This window comes from Homo sapiens, chromosome 4 (assembly GCF_000001405.40).
Source record: "Homo sapiens chromosome 4, GRCh38.p14 Primary Assembly".
Lineage (NCBI taxonomy): Eukaryota > Metazoa > Chordata > Mammalia > Primates > Hominidae > Homo > Homo sapiens.
The window spans coordinates 57,175,813-57,190,025 of NC_000004.12; the positions used below are offsets into that span (position 1 = coordinate 57,175,813).

The 14,213-nt window shown below is 43.0% G+C and overlaps 1 long non-coding RNA gene across 1 annotated transcript in view; it reads left to right on the top strand.

Annotated features, from left to right (window-relative positions):
* The window catches only part of IGFBP7-AS1 (IGFBP7 antisense RNA 1), a 95,538-nt gene that overhangs the window by 66,051 nt on the left and 15,274 nt on the right, over positions 1 to 14,213 (top strand). Inside the window, exon 2 of the long non-coding RNA NR_034081.1 lies at positions 12,358 to 12,507. This is a non-coding gene — a long non-coding RNA (IGFBP7 antisense RNA 1). The remainder of the gene's footprint in view (positions 1 to 12,357; positions 12,508 to 14,213) is intronic.

Here is a 14,213-nt window from a genome sequence, read left to right on the forward strand (position 1 = left end):
GTAAAGCCCTCCTCTTTGTTCTTTGTGCCACAAAGTCTTTTTTATGTTCCAGGACCCAGCTCACCTTCCACGTCCACTATGGAATCTTTTCTGATCACCCAGCTGGACTCGAGCTTTGGGTGGCTGCAGTGCTGTCTGCTGTCACCCTGAGTGCCTGAGCACTCCTATGGTGCTTACCAGTCCCTGGTTGGCATTACAGGTTTTCCTTTCCTGTGTAGGACAGGAGGCTGGCCATAGTCATATCACCATCATCAACCTCAAATAGTCAGAGAAGGGCGACCAGGTCAAGGTGCTGAGGATGAAGTCCAGTACTATGCCCTGCCTTCAGTCCAGGGCTTACAATCTGGGCTGGTCTTTCTCAAACGGGTTTGCTGGTGTTACTTGAGGTCTATGAATTCTGTGAGAACTTTAAAAAATTGTGTTTATCTGTCAATAATAATAAAACATTTTATCAGTTATAAATACAGAAATTATTTTTTTATAATGATAATTTGCTATGGAGAGGCATTTTCTTATTTATTTATTTATTTATGTAACTTTAATTTTAATTTTTTTGAGACAGGGTTTTGCTCTGTCACCCAGACTGGAGTGCAGCGGTGTGATCTCTGCTCACTTCAGCCTTAATCTTCCAGGCTCAAGCGATCCTCCCACCTCAGCCTCCCCAGTGGCTGGGAATACAGGCGCACACCACCATGCCCAGCTAGTTTTTGTAATTTTTGTAGAGATGGGGTTCTTCCATGTTGCCTAGTGGTGAATTTACTTTTTTTTTTATGACCATATTATTCAGGGGTTTTACAGACAATTTCTGGTACCGAAAGACTATTATTTCTCCAGAAGAGGTTCTTATATTACTCAAATATGAGAGACATTGGTTTAGTCAATTTCATTCTGTCATTAACAAATTCATTCATTCATCAATAAACATTTATGGTACGCCTATTTATTAGATGCCAGGCCGTTTGTCAGGCACATGAGCAAGTGGTCAGGACCTGTTCTGGGCTCCAGAATCCTCACTGCTCTTCCTGACTTACCAGGTAGCCCCTACCGCAGAGTTCAGGCTATCGACTTCTCTATGCCTCACTTTCTCCACCACTAATAAAAGGGTAAGAGAGTATATCTATTTTTGTCTTTTGGAGGGGTAGAAAAACATATCCTAGGATTTATTTAGTTATTTATTTTAATTAAAAATTTTTTTAATATTGCCCTGAGAAAGCAGATACCTTAGGATTTAAAAACCAAACAAAACCCAATCGAAGTATTACTTGTTTCCAAATTTGGTGTTTTTGAGTCAGAGACAAGCGCTAAATTCACATTTCTTTCCACCTCCCACTAACCTCAGTGGGAGGGATCCAGGACCCATGGAAGGTCTCAATCAGCTCTAACAGAAATGGGTCCTACACCGTAGAGCAGATTTTTCACAAGAGCTGTTTTTAGATTTGTTTATGCCGCCACCGACCTCCAATTTCACATTTCAGAAACTCCCGTGGGGCTGAGGAGTTACTCCCTGGGAATCTTCTCTGCTTAGCAGGAGCTCAAGAGCAGAGTGCTGATGGGTCTCATGTTTAAAGAACAATCTGTCACAAAGCTAAGGGGCTTATTACTCATCCTAACACTGAGCACTAAATAAACACTGGAGTAGATAGAGACATAACCTGGGACCTTTGAGCATAGAGCTGATATGAATAGTCATTAAAGTAGCACATTGGCAAACCCACTACCCACTGGGGCCATTCTTGTTGGAAAAGTCTGATCATCTGGCATCCAGTTGCAATGCAATCAGTAAGAACCATTCCATGGTGCTTAAACATGTCAGAGTAAATCTCTAACAGGGCCACTACCACCCCGGAAGAGTAAGTGGGATGCACTTTGCTTTAAAGGGATACCTTCCTTTCTCAATATGCTCACAGACAGACGGGGAGCCAGGATCACGCAATCCAGTTGGGCAGATTTTTTTCTGATTCTGAGCGTCGCATTTAGCAGGGCAAGTTTTTGTTCCCAAAGCTTCAAGGTCTGGAGCCAGACCTCCACTGGTACATGAATCACACTGTGTTTGGGCATCCTAGAAGACATAGGGTGGGCCTACCAGTGGGCCAGCTTATTTACCAGGGCGTGCTTGCTCTCTGTGGAGCAAGAACTACTAGGGCTTTTATGGGGACATGCTGCCTTCATTCATCCAGCAAAAATTATTGAGTGTCTACTTTGTGCCAGACACCACACTAGATATCAGAGACACAGAGAGAGATAAGGCCCAGTTCCTACTTTTTAGGTGCTTATAATCCAGGTGGAGACACAGACAAATAACAACACAGAGCAGTAAGAGTGATGACAAGGGAAATGGAGTCCTTTTCTTCTTGCCAGTCTTGGAGGGTTAGAAAAGCCTTGTTGGAAGGTGGATGTTCAAACTGAGACCCAGAGAATGTACGAGTTAATAGGTAAAGGCAAGAGGATGGCAAACTGTACAAGTCCCAAGGCGTGGGACAGCATGTAGATCTGAAACTGCACATATTTCAAGATTGGCTGCTCAGAGAGTGCAAGATGATATGTTGACAAATGAGACAGAAGAGGTAAACTTCCTTGATAACATTGCCCCTTACTTATTTTTCTCTGCACTCCTTCCCCAAAGCAGGTATGGCAGGTACATCTGTGTGTGCATATGTGTGTGTGTGTTTGCATTAAAAAACAACAACTCCAGCAAACGTTTCAATTCAAATATTTAGTTTGCTTGGCTGAAAACTATTTAGAAGGTAAAGTGTTTGCTCCAGGTCGGGTTGGGGAAAATATCACATGTGAGGCTAGTTATCACAGGGGCTGTGACCTGGTCCTTGCCAAGCTTCCAAATGTTCGGAAGAAGTTTTAGTCTTTAAGAAAGCAAGCTACCAGGGACTCTCAGTATAGAAACAGAAAGGACTGTGCCAGAGGGATGCTAGGAAAAACCCTCACAGTTTGCCTCATATGAATGTAAGACCTCTGAATGAATAGTTGTGTATCCTATGGGACCTACAGAAACAGAAATTGTGGTCCTGTGAATAAGATGGTGACTTCTATGTGACAACACAGCTTGTTAAATCAAGCTGGCAGATGTAATTAACAATAAGCACAGTATAAAGTCTTAGCATGGCAGTTTACATAGTCATAGAATGTTGCAATAGTTAACATATTGGTTAGATATTACAATAAAGTAACAGTGGATTTAATAAAATAAGAGGATTATTTCTTCTCTCATAGAAGTCTGAGCTGGTAGGTGGTCCAAAGGTGGTAGGTGGTAGGCAGCTCTGCTTTATGAGTTTGTACAGGACCCAGATACCTTCTATCTTGTTCAACTACCATCTAGGGTTGAAGATGACTCACTACCACCATGTCCAACCTCCAATTTGAAGGAAAATGGAAAGGGGAAAGTTGAACCAACAGTACCTTTATGAAGGCATGGCCTGAAAATGGAAGATTATCACTTCTCTTTGCATCACACTGGCAGGTAATTGGTTGCTTGGCCACATGTAGCTGCAATAAAGGCTGGGAACTGCAGTCTCTAGTTGAGCGGGGTATGTTTAGCTAGAGTTTGGGGTGTTATTGCCAAGGGGAAGAAGAGAAGAATGGATAGTGGTGAACAATTAGTCAACTGTCATAGATGTTTATCTCTATCATTTGATCCTCTCAACAACCTTGTTAGAAAGCAGGCACAGATTATTTACCATCCTCATTTTTGCAGATGAGAAAATTGAGGTGGAAGATTAAGGGACTCCATCAATATCATACAACGAAGCCACATGGCATAGTGGGACAACTGCAAAAACTTGGTCAGGAGGTGCCCTGGTTGGGCACAGTATTAACCACTGAGTTTTCTGAAATGTATTCCTCAGCCTGGGAACAGAATTTCCCAGTGCTTGCAGCTTCTTTCAAGAAAAAGCTTCCCGGTAATCACGGGTTAGAGGTCGGAGGAGCACAAATTCAAGGGCATTTTGAACATGGCCCCACATGGATGTGATCTGGCTAACCCATCTTTTTTTTTAAATTATTTATTATTATTATTATACTTTAAGTTCTAAGGTACATGTGCACAACGTGCAGGTTCGTTACATATGTATACATGTGCCATGTTGGTGTGCTGCACCCGTTAACTCGTCATTTACATTAGGTATATCTCCTAATGCTATCCCTCCCCCTTCCCCCCACCCCATGACAGGCCCCAGTGTGTGATGTTCCCCACCCTGTGTCCACGTGTTCTCATTGTTCAATTCCCACCTATGAGTGAGAATATGCAGTGTTTCGCTTTCTGTCCTTGCGATAGTTTGCCCAGAATGATGGTTTCCAGCTTCATCCATGTCCCTACAAAGGACATGAACGCATCCCTTTTTATGGCTGCATAGTATTCCATGGTGTATATGTGCCACATTTTCTTAATCCAGTCTATCATTGTTGGACATTTGGGTTGGTTCCAAGTCTTTGCTATTGTGAATAGTGCCGCAATAAACATACGTTTACATGTGTCTTTATAGCAGCATGATTTATAATCCTTTGGATATATACCCAGTAATGGGATGGCTGGGTCAAATGGTATTTCTAGTTCTAGATCCTTGAGGAATCGCCACACTGACTTCCACAATGGTTGAACTAGTTTACAGTCCCGCCAACAGTGTAAAAGCATTCCTATTTCTCCATGTCTTCTCCAGCACCTGTTGTTTCCTGACTTTTTAAAGATTGCCATTCTAACTGGTGTGAGATGGTATTTCATTGTGCTTTTGATTTGCATTTCTCTGATGGCCTGTGATAGTGAGCATTTTTTCATGTGTCTGTTGGCTGCATAAATGTCTTCTTTTGAGAAGTGTCTGTTCATATCCTTTGCCCACTTTTTGATGGGGTTGTTTGATTTTTTCTTGTAAATTTGTGTAAGTTCTTTGTAGATTCTGGGTATTAGCCTTTTGTCAGATGGGTAGGTTGTAAAAATTTTCTCCCATTCTGTAGTGGCTAACCCATCTTTGCCTCTTCCAGTCCAAGCACAGACAATGAGCAGAGAGGAGGACAATGTGGGTTAATGGAAAGAACACTGGATTGGGGTCAGGAGACCCCAAGAACATTGAATTGGAGTCATTTTTAGCTCACATCAATTGCATGCCTGTGAAGTGACAGCTACTGAGCTTGACACTGGCATGTCTTCTCATTTAATCTCAGAACAACACTGTGAGGTAGATGTTACTATGTATATCTTACAGAAGACAAAACTGAGGCCCAAAGAGCTGAGTGGCCCAAAGTTATATAGCTTGTGAGAGGTAGGGCTGGAATTCTAACCTAGACCTTCTGACTGCTAACCCCAAGCCCTTCTACAAAATCATACTGTTCTTTACGCCAAGTAACTGCTGGGCAAGCTGGAACTGAAATGGGATATGTCACCAGTCACACGGATGACCCGTAACACGTCTACCTGGGGCCCAGGTACTTAGGTTGTGTACTTTGTGAGTCTGCTTTTTGTGTGTGAAGGAAACCCGTATATCAGAGGTTGGATCCCCTAAATTGGCCTTACCCACACATTCTGCTTGATCTACCTTCTCTGGGCTATGCTTTTTTCTTTGTTAATTTTCTTCTCTTTTCAAAATTGCTGAAGGAATGTATGTTCATAAAATTCAAATAATGTAGAAAAGTCAGAGATCAATTAGGATGCTTCCCTAACCTCTCTAACTCCTTTTCCAGTCCCTTTCCAGAGGAGACCACTTTCAGCAGTCTGGGGAGCACCTTTGGATGTTTCTTGTCTAAGCATTTATTTTTGTCAAGATTTTTAAAAAGTAAAAATGGGAATGTGTGTGCTGTTTTGCAGTTCACTTTTTCCACTTCACAATACCTTGGGTTTATCTTTCTATACCAGTATATTAAAACTGATCTCATTATTGCTGGTGGACATGTGTTGCACTAGACACACACCTGACTTCAGGTCCTGCTCCGTTTGGTATTTTATGATGTGTGGTTAATGGTGTGGAGTTTAGATCCATTCAACCTCCGTCCTGAATCCTGGATCCATCACTTATTAGCTGCGTGATCCTGGGAAACTGACTTAATGGCTCCATGCCTCAGTTTCTTCGCCTGTAAAGTGGGGTTAATATCGGTAACCTACCTCATAGGATGCTAGGAGGACTGAGTTAACGCATGTAACACATTTACAACAGAGCCTGCAACATATGCTATATGAGTGCTAGATGAGGTTTAGCTATTCTTTTCACACCTGAATACTATTTCATAATATATTTAGTCTATTACTTGACATATAAGTTGTTTGTGATTCTTTTTTTTTTTTTTTTTTGCTAAAACAAACACTGTTGTGATCAGTATACGTTTACATATCCCTTTGTGCACATGTGGAAGTGTTTCTGTAGAATAAATTTCTTGGAATAGCATTAGTGGGCCTGAGGGTGTGGGGATTTTCAGTGGTAACATCAGTTGGTGGGCTCTGCTTGACCATGCTTTTCTTGGTTCACTCATATCAGCTCACCCAGTAGCAGCTGTTGGGCATCCTGCCAGTGTCCTTCCGTCACATGTCCAGTGGTTGGCAGAGCTATGTGGCAGTAAGCATTCCTCTTTGTCTTCCCAGGGCCTGGCCCTTTGTCAGCGTTCATTAGACTGGATGGCTTGGCTTCCTGGTGATCCTGATGGAGATTCTGAATTGCTACTTTATGTAAAGCATGGTGCCCGGGGGAGACATGCCCAGGGCCAAGAACCTTGATCAGACCCACATGCCCAGCGTAAGGCTGAGGATGAGATTGTACAAGTGGTCAAGAGAATCAACATGGTTTCACCCTTGAATCAGTCCAGGTTCACTAGGGGTTCCATGACATGGCACTTTTTAACTTGGCGATCATGTCTTTGCTCAGTGATATGGGGTAGGTGTGGATGTGATGATTCACACGATGCAGGGATCGAGTGCACCTCCCAAAAAACAGGAAGTGAAATAAAGCGGCACTGTGTATTGCTGCTATGACATTTCTCTTGATCTTATTAACACAGGAGGGGCTAAGCAATAAATGTGATAATCTCACTTGGGGAATTTGGGGTTGGTTGTTTATCCAATCCTTGAACATTTATTGAACAGTTATTTTGTGTCAGACACGGTTATTGATGTTGGGGTATGGAACTATGGACTAAGGCATAATTTCAACCTTTGAAAACTCCACAGAAGCTTTAAGAACCCTTGAGGAGACTTAATTTTTCAAGAACAATGGGAATGAAGATATAATACTGCAGGTGGGGCCTGAGCTCCACCCTGGATGAGGCTGGGGGATGGGTATGCATGGGATTATTGGGGTCCCTTCACACAGAAATGCTCACTGGAGAGGCTTTCCTGTACAAATATTAGAAATGTAAAATTACATGTTAATTTCTTTTTCTGTGCTTAGAAAAGGTGCAGGATATATAATTTAGAAAAATGTAAAGGAAAGTTAAAGATCACCTATAACTGTCTCATCCCAATGCAACCATTGTGGAATGTACGTGTATTTATTTCTTTATCATGTTTGTATGTAGGTGCATTTTAAAAGCAAAATTAGGAATCATACTTCATATTCTGCTTTGTGACTTGCTTTGTCACTCAAACTGCATTAGAAGCATTTCACAAATCTTTGAATATTCCTTTACTACATGATATGTAATGGATTATGGTGTTCTGTTATATATTATAGTCAAGTTAGTCAATTAATGATTTGAAAGGGCACACTGGTTAATTATTGTTGTCTTTTCTCCTACGCCTCCTGGTTTTGGCTTTTATTATTTTGTAAAGATGCAGGAGAAATCTTGAGTTCTGAGTGGTTATCCCATCCTTTGTGAACACTGCTGTCAGGCACACAAAACAACATGGGCTGGGCATGGTGGCGGGCGCCTGCAGTCGAGAGGCTGAGGCAAGAGAATCTCTTGAACCTGGGAAGTGGAGGTTGCAGTGAGCCGAGATCGTGCCACTGCATTCCAGCCTGGGCGACAAGAGCAAGACTCCATCTCAAAAAACAAACAAACAAACACACACACACACACACACACACACACACACAAACCCACAACATGATTCCAGTTTCTATGCTCATTTTAGAATCCTGCACCTGACCACCACGCAAAAATTCCTCTGGATAACTTCATCTGGGCCTTCCCTCCGGTGGAACTGGAAGATTGTTTTCCAAACTCCACTCCTTTTCCATTTGTGTTGTCCACTCACCGAGTGCCCCTTCTTCTTTCATTTTTAGACACCTCGGCTGCAGCTGACTCCAGAAACATATTCCCTCTTTAAGTCTCGGCTCCACAGGTTGCCTCTTCTCCTCATCATTTCTCGTTTCTCACCGTGAAAATCTTTGCTTTCTCTCTTTATGGCTTCCTGAGACCCGAAAATAGAGGTAATTTAAATTTGGTAATTATGATGACAACAAAACAACTTATGTTGAAATGCAGAGTTTAAAATGCCAGAGTTTCCTACTGTTGAGATCTCTCTGCCTTCATTCTGTGGATACCGCTGTGGGAGCTTACCTGAGTCTGCCCCAGATCAGGAGGCCAAGCATGAGGCGATGAGAAACAGCTTCTGCACAGAGGTGGTGACTTCTACCTCTTGGGGGATGGGGGCTGGTCAGCCAGAGCTACCACATTCAGGTTCAGCCCCTTCAGACCTTCCTAAGCTCCAGGTGGAATCTTTGCCTTCCCACCTTCTGGACCCTGCACGGGGAGGGTCTCGGGCTGTAGCCACGAGGCGGCATTAGGCAGCTAGAATCACAGAGTGGGGACTGGGGGATGGGGTTTCTTCTCTGACAGTGGTTAGGTGAGTCACTCTCTGTGGGCTGCTCATGGCAGCCTCTTCCTCCATCCTTGAAGCGGGCCTTCCAAAGACTTCACCTGCTCCGTTATAAAAGGCTTTGAGTTCTGCAAGAGGCAGCTGTGAATGTATTAGCATCCTGCTTTCTGTATGAACATCCTGCTTTCTGGCACATGGCTAGGCCACCGCTTAAACAACCGGCGCCAATTCACAGTGAAAAAAGATCTGCTCAAAGCTGGTTTCAGAAGGAGGACACGGGAGGCGTATAATATCGAGCCCGTCTCCCGACGGTGCCATCTGTTCTCATTAAGGCAGCCACAGCGCCGAAGGAAGGGCCTCCAGGTGCACACAAGGAAGCCTGCTCGCCTTGTTATCCTCTCAGAGACTTTGCCTTTTGTTTTGTTTAGTTTTGTTTTTGTCTGGCAGGCTCAAAAAGACACTGTTCTACTTTCCGCAGAAGAATCACTCTCACATTTTAAGAAATTAAGTCTCTGGGAAAAAAAATATTGTTTGAGAGGGCTTGTAATGGCTCCTTGACCACATGCTGTGCCTGCCAATTTATAACAGAGAAATATTACAGAAGTTGGGATCCAAGGTTGGTGTGCACAGCCATTGCTTAAAGAGGGATGGATGCTTCCTGGGGACAATGATCTTCCCCCGGGCCCCCCAGCATTTATTCAATCTGGAGAGAATTGTCTGCCAGGCTCCCACTCCTACATCCCAGGAAGAGCTGGGCACATTCATCATCTTGTGTATTCAGAAAGTGATGATAATTCCTCTGAGAGCCAACTGGGCTGGGGAGGGTGTGATCAAACTTCTGCTGGCAATCAGACTGCCTTTGGGGAGGGGAGTCTCCATTTTGCAGGTATGTCTCTACTGCCAGTCTGCAGGGAAGCCTACCCAGTCAACAATATGTTACCATGAAAATCTCCTTTTGGGGGTATCTTATATCACATTATAGGGAAAGGCAGAGGAAATATCAAAAGCATTTGGCCCTGAATTTAAAATGATCTTTCCGTAGATTTTTATAGACTTTGTTTTACAAGATTGGTGTAAGGCCTAAAGCATGTCTTCAGGCCTCTTACATATCCTCCTTCTCTCTGGGGGTTTCCTTCCTGCCTGCCCTCAACATCCCTTACCACACACCTATTCTGTTTCTCCCCACATGCATGGTTTGTATATTATGTCCTGTCAGTCAATTCCTACTAAAATGTTAGCTGATGTTAGGGTATTCTCGTGGGAAGATATTTGCATTTTAATAGGTGGCTTGAATATAGAAAAGCTTCATCCTAAAGTTGCAAAACTTTAGGGGAAAAACAGGCAATTTTGGATAGAGTGAGGGATGAGGGGATGAGAAGGGGGAATGTATGTGAGGTCAGAGACATTCTCACATCTCACTGTGCATCATCCATAGAACTTGCCTTTCTTTTCTCTCTTTTTTTTCTTTGTCCCTGACCTCAGAGTAAATGGCACCTCACACACTCTTGTGGGCCAGAAAGAAAGTCTTTCATAGGCAGATAGGAAATAAGACAGCAGTTTTTCCAAGAGTACTGAAATGCAACAAGTCTACTGGTCTGTTGAGTTAAAAAATGGTCAGTTTGGTTGTTCTTGTTCATCTAGTTCAGCTGATTGGTTCGGTAGAAGCAATAGAGTACTGTACTACAGTATAGTAAAACTGTTGCTTCACAGCAGCCATCCCTAAACTTTTTGGCACCAGGGACTGGTTTCATGGAAGACGTTTTTTTTTCCACAGAAGGGGCGGGAGATGGTTTTGGGATGAAACTGTTCCACCTCAGACAAGATCATCAGCTATTAGCATATTAGATTCTCATAAGGAGAACACAACCGAAATCCCTTGCATGAGCAATTCACAATAGGGCTTGCACCCCTATGAGAATCTAATGCAGCTGCTGATCCGACAGGAGGCGGAGCTCAGGTGGTAATGCTGCTCACTTCCTGCTGTGGGGCCCTGTTCCTAACTCATACCAGTTTGTGGACCAGGGGCTGGGGACCCCTGATTTACAGCACTAAGTTACCAGTTTCCACGTCGGTGGGATTGGCGGAAACTTTTCAAGCTCTGTGTGATGGAGTAACACAGGGTAGAAAGAGTACCCTTGTGAAAAGCCTGGCTGCATCTGCCCCTTTATAAAGGAGACAATTGAAGCTAATTTATTTTTAAAACACAAAATGAAATTTGGTTTGAAATTTGAGGAGGAGATACATTGATGTTGCCTCTGAGAAGGAGTCAAAGACCAATAAAAGGTGGTTCTTTCTGTTCCCAAACCCAGAAGCCAATAGGGGCCACAGAAGGAGCACAGTGCCACGGTGACCATGCTGCAGCATTGTCAGATTTAGCAAGAAGAAATACAGGGTGCCCAGGGAAGTTTGAATTTCTGATGAACACTGAAGACTCTTTTAGTATGTATGATTTTTGGAACATATTTATAGAAAAAAATTATTTATCTGAATTCAAACTGAGTGTCCTATATTTTTGTCTGGCAATCTGGTACCATACTGCCCCTTTGTAATTCCTTGTATATGTTGTTAAAGAATAATTTTTCTGAAGGGTAAAATTATAACTCTTGTATGATTATAAAATGAACATGTGTCAAAGATTTTTTTAGTTCACTGATTAATGAGCGAATCAGTAAGATGTCACAACTGGTTAGAAGAATTCAGAACACACACACACACACACACACACGCACGCACACACACAATCAGGAAAGGCTGAACTGAATTTGTTAATAGTTGCAAAACTACCCAAATTCCTAGGACAATAATCAACTGCATTCCACTGGGCAAAATTAATTTGCGTTTCTATGGACAAGAATCATTTGCATTACTCTCAGTTTTCTACAACTTGCAGTAGTTGTAAAATAGGCCAAAGACAATGAACACTACAGAATAACCAGGAAGGGTGTGTTAGAACATCCATGAATCATCTTTGCCTATTTCAAAGCCTTTCACAATGGAAACATTTGACAGTGTTGTGCTCTCTCCTATCTCGGGCCTTTGCACCTGATGGTTCCTCCACTTTTTTAGTTGTCTTGAACTTACCCTTGACTGTGGGAGATCAGGATATGCCACTCCAAAATATGCCTCTTTGGCATGAGGATTGTTGAGCTGACCGCAAATAAGGAGAAACACATGCAGGAAAGCACCCTGCTCTTTCCCTATTTGCCTCAAATCAGGACATACATTTATGAAGACAAAAGACATCCCACCTCCTCTTGCTCCCCAGGCAAACAGAGATTAACCACTTAAGACAACTTTGGATCCTTACATGCCTGGAGAGAGCACCAGAGGAACCTACATTAACAAGCTTCACCAACTAGCCTTTATCTGCCAATTATTTGCCTTTCCAAAAGTTGCTGCCCCTAAGGACTCAAAGTTCTTTTCCTTTGTGTCACAAATCTAAAAACGTACTGTTCCTTGTTGAAGATACTATATAAATTGGTATTCAAAGCCACCTCTTCGAAAGTTTCTTATTCTCTGGGTTTCTCCCATGTATGTATGAAATATACGTACATCAAACAAACATCTGTTTGTTTTTCTCTCGTTAACCTTTTTTTTTTTGTTTGTTACAGGGGACTGTTCTAAGAACTTATAAGAGTTAAGAAAAAAAATTATCTTCAAACATCATTACCTCTGGAAAGCTCTTCCTGACCCACAAACTAGGTTGGGTTCATGTGCTACAAGCTCTCACAGGACCATGTTTCCTTCATTAGGGCATTTATGTGAGTTTATAATTCATCCTCCTTACTGAGGTTTCTAAGTCCTTGCATGATCTGACCCCTGCACCCATCAGCTTCCCTTTCAATAACTGTGCTCTGGTCATACTTCTCTCCCTTCTGTTCCTCGACCATAACAAGTTCTTCCCTGCCTTAAGGACTTTGCACCTGTTGTTCCCTGTGCCCGGAATATTTTTTCTCTTGGCTCTTGCAAGGCATGTTTCTTTTCATCCGTCAGGTCTCAGTTTGAATGTCAGAAAAGCCTCTCCTGATTATCTTATCTAAAGATGCTCCCTTCTCCACCCTCACTTTCTATTCTAGTGATTCCTCAGCCTTAGCACAGATTAGAATCACCTGGCAGGCCTGATAAAACAAAGGTTGCTGGGGCCCATGGCCAGAGTTTTTGATTCAGCAGGTTTGGAAGCAGCATGAAGTTCTGTGTTTTACCAAGTTCTCAGTTGATGCTGATGCTGCCAGGATGGGCATCACTCTTGGAGAAACACTGCTCTGAGTGTTTTCTTTCAACACCTGACATTATTTTCCCCCTTTGCTGATTTGCTTTCTGTCTCCCATAGAGCTGAAAGTTCCACACGAGCAGAGATAGTGATGCTCCTATTTTCTGATTCATCTACGGTACTAAGAACAGTGCCTTATATAAAAGAAGTTTAATGATTATTTGATGAATGAATGAATGAACCATTTTCTATTTTTTTGTTTTGTATTGTAACAAAGGGTTTGCTTACCAAATTACTGTTGAACTGAGGTGCCAGAACCAAGTTATAGAGATTGGCTTTCATCACTAAGATATGTTTGTGGAAGAGTAGTTGTCTTAATTTAATAAACCACAACAATATTTGACCAGTAACTTGAATAAAGACAAGTGCCTACTGCGGCCTACACTTTCCATTAGCACGCCTTCCTGCTTAGGGTCAATGTCATTAACCAACAGTTGGTTAGATGACATCAGGGCTTTAGGTGCTATTGACAGGTCTCAAGAAGATATGAGTTTTGCCAAGACTGGTAGCTATGATGAGCATTCAGAAGACATATATGGCAAGTGGGGTGAGGGAAGGGCTTGTGCTTTGGCTTTAAGCATGCCTCATGGATGAAGCAGCTTGGGTAAAGGAAGGGAGAGAGAGGAAGCAGGGAGAATCCTTCCTCCAAGCTAGGTTATAGGCAGTGCTCTCACATCCCTGGTCTTGGCAGGTCCTAACTCCAGGCCTCCTGATGCCCATATTCTGTTCCAAAGACCACAGTCCAGGCTTTAGGGCATAGCCTCAGGCTCTCCTACCCACTAACCCTCTAGGTTCTGTTTGTTTCCCCCCTTCTACTCTCTTCTATGCCATTCCTCTAGGCTTTTACCTTGCCATGTGACAGGCTTATGTGGTAAACTAATGGGTCCTAATGACTGCCACACACACACACACACACACACACACACACACACACACCCCTATATATAAGGCCACATGCGGTGGTTCACGCCTGTAATCCCAGCACTTTGTGAGGCCGAGGCGAGTGGATTGCTTGAGCTCAGGAGCTTGAGACCAGCCTGGGCAACATAGTGAATCCCTGTCTCTACAAAAAAGTTCAAAAATTAGCCAGGCATGGCGGCGCTCACATGTAGTCCCAGCTACTTGGGAGTCTGAGGCAGGAGGATTGCTTGAGTCCAGGAGGTCGAGGCTGTAGTGAGCCATGTTCATGGCCTGGGT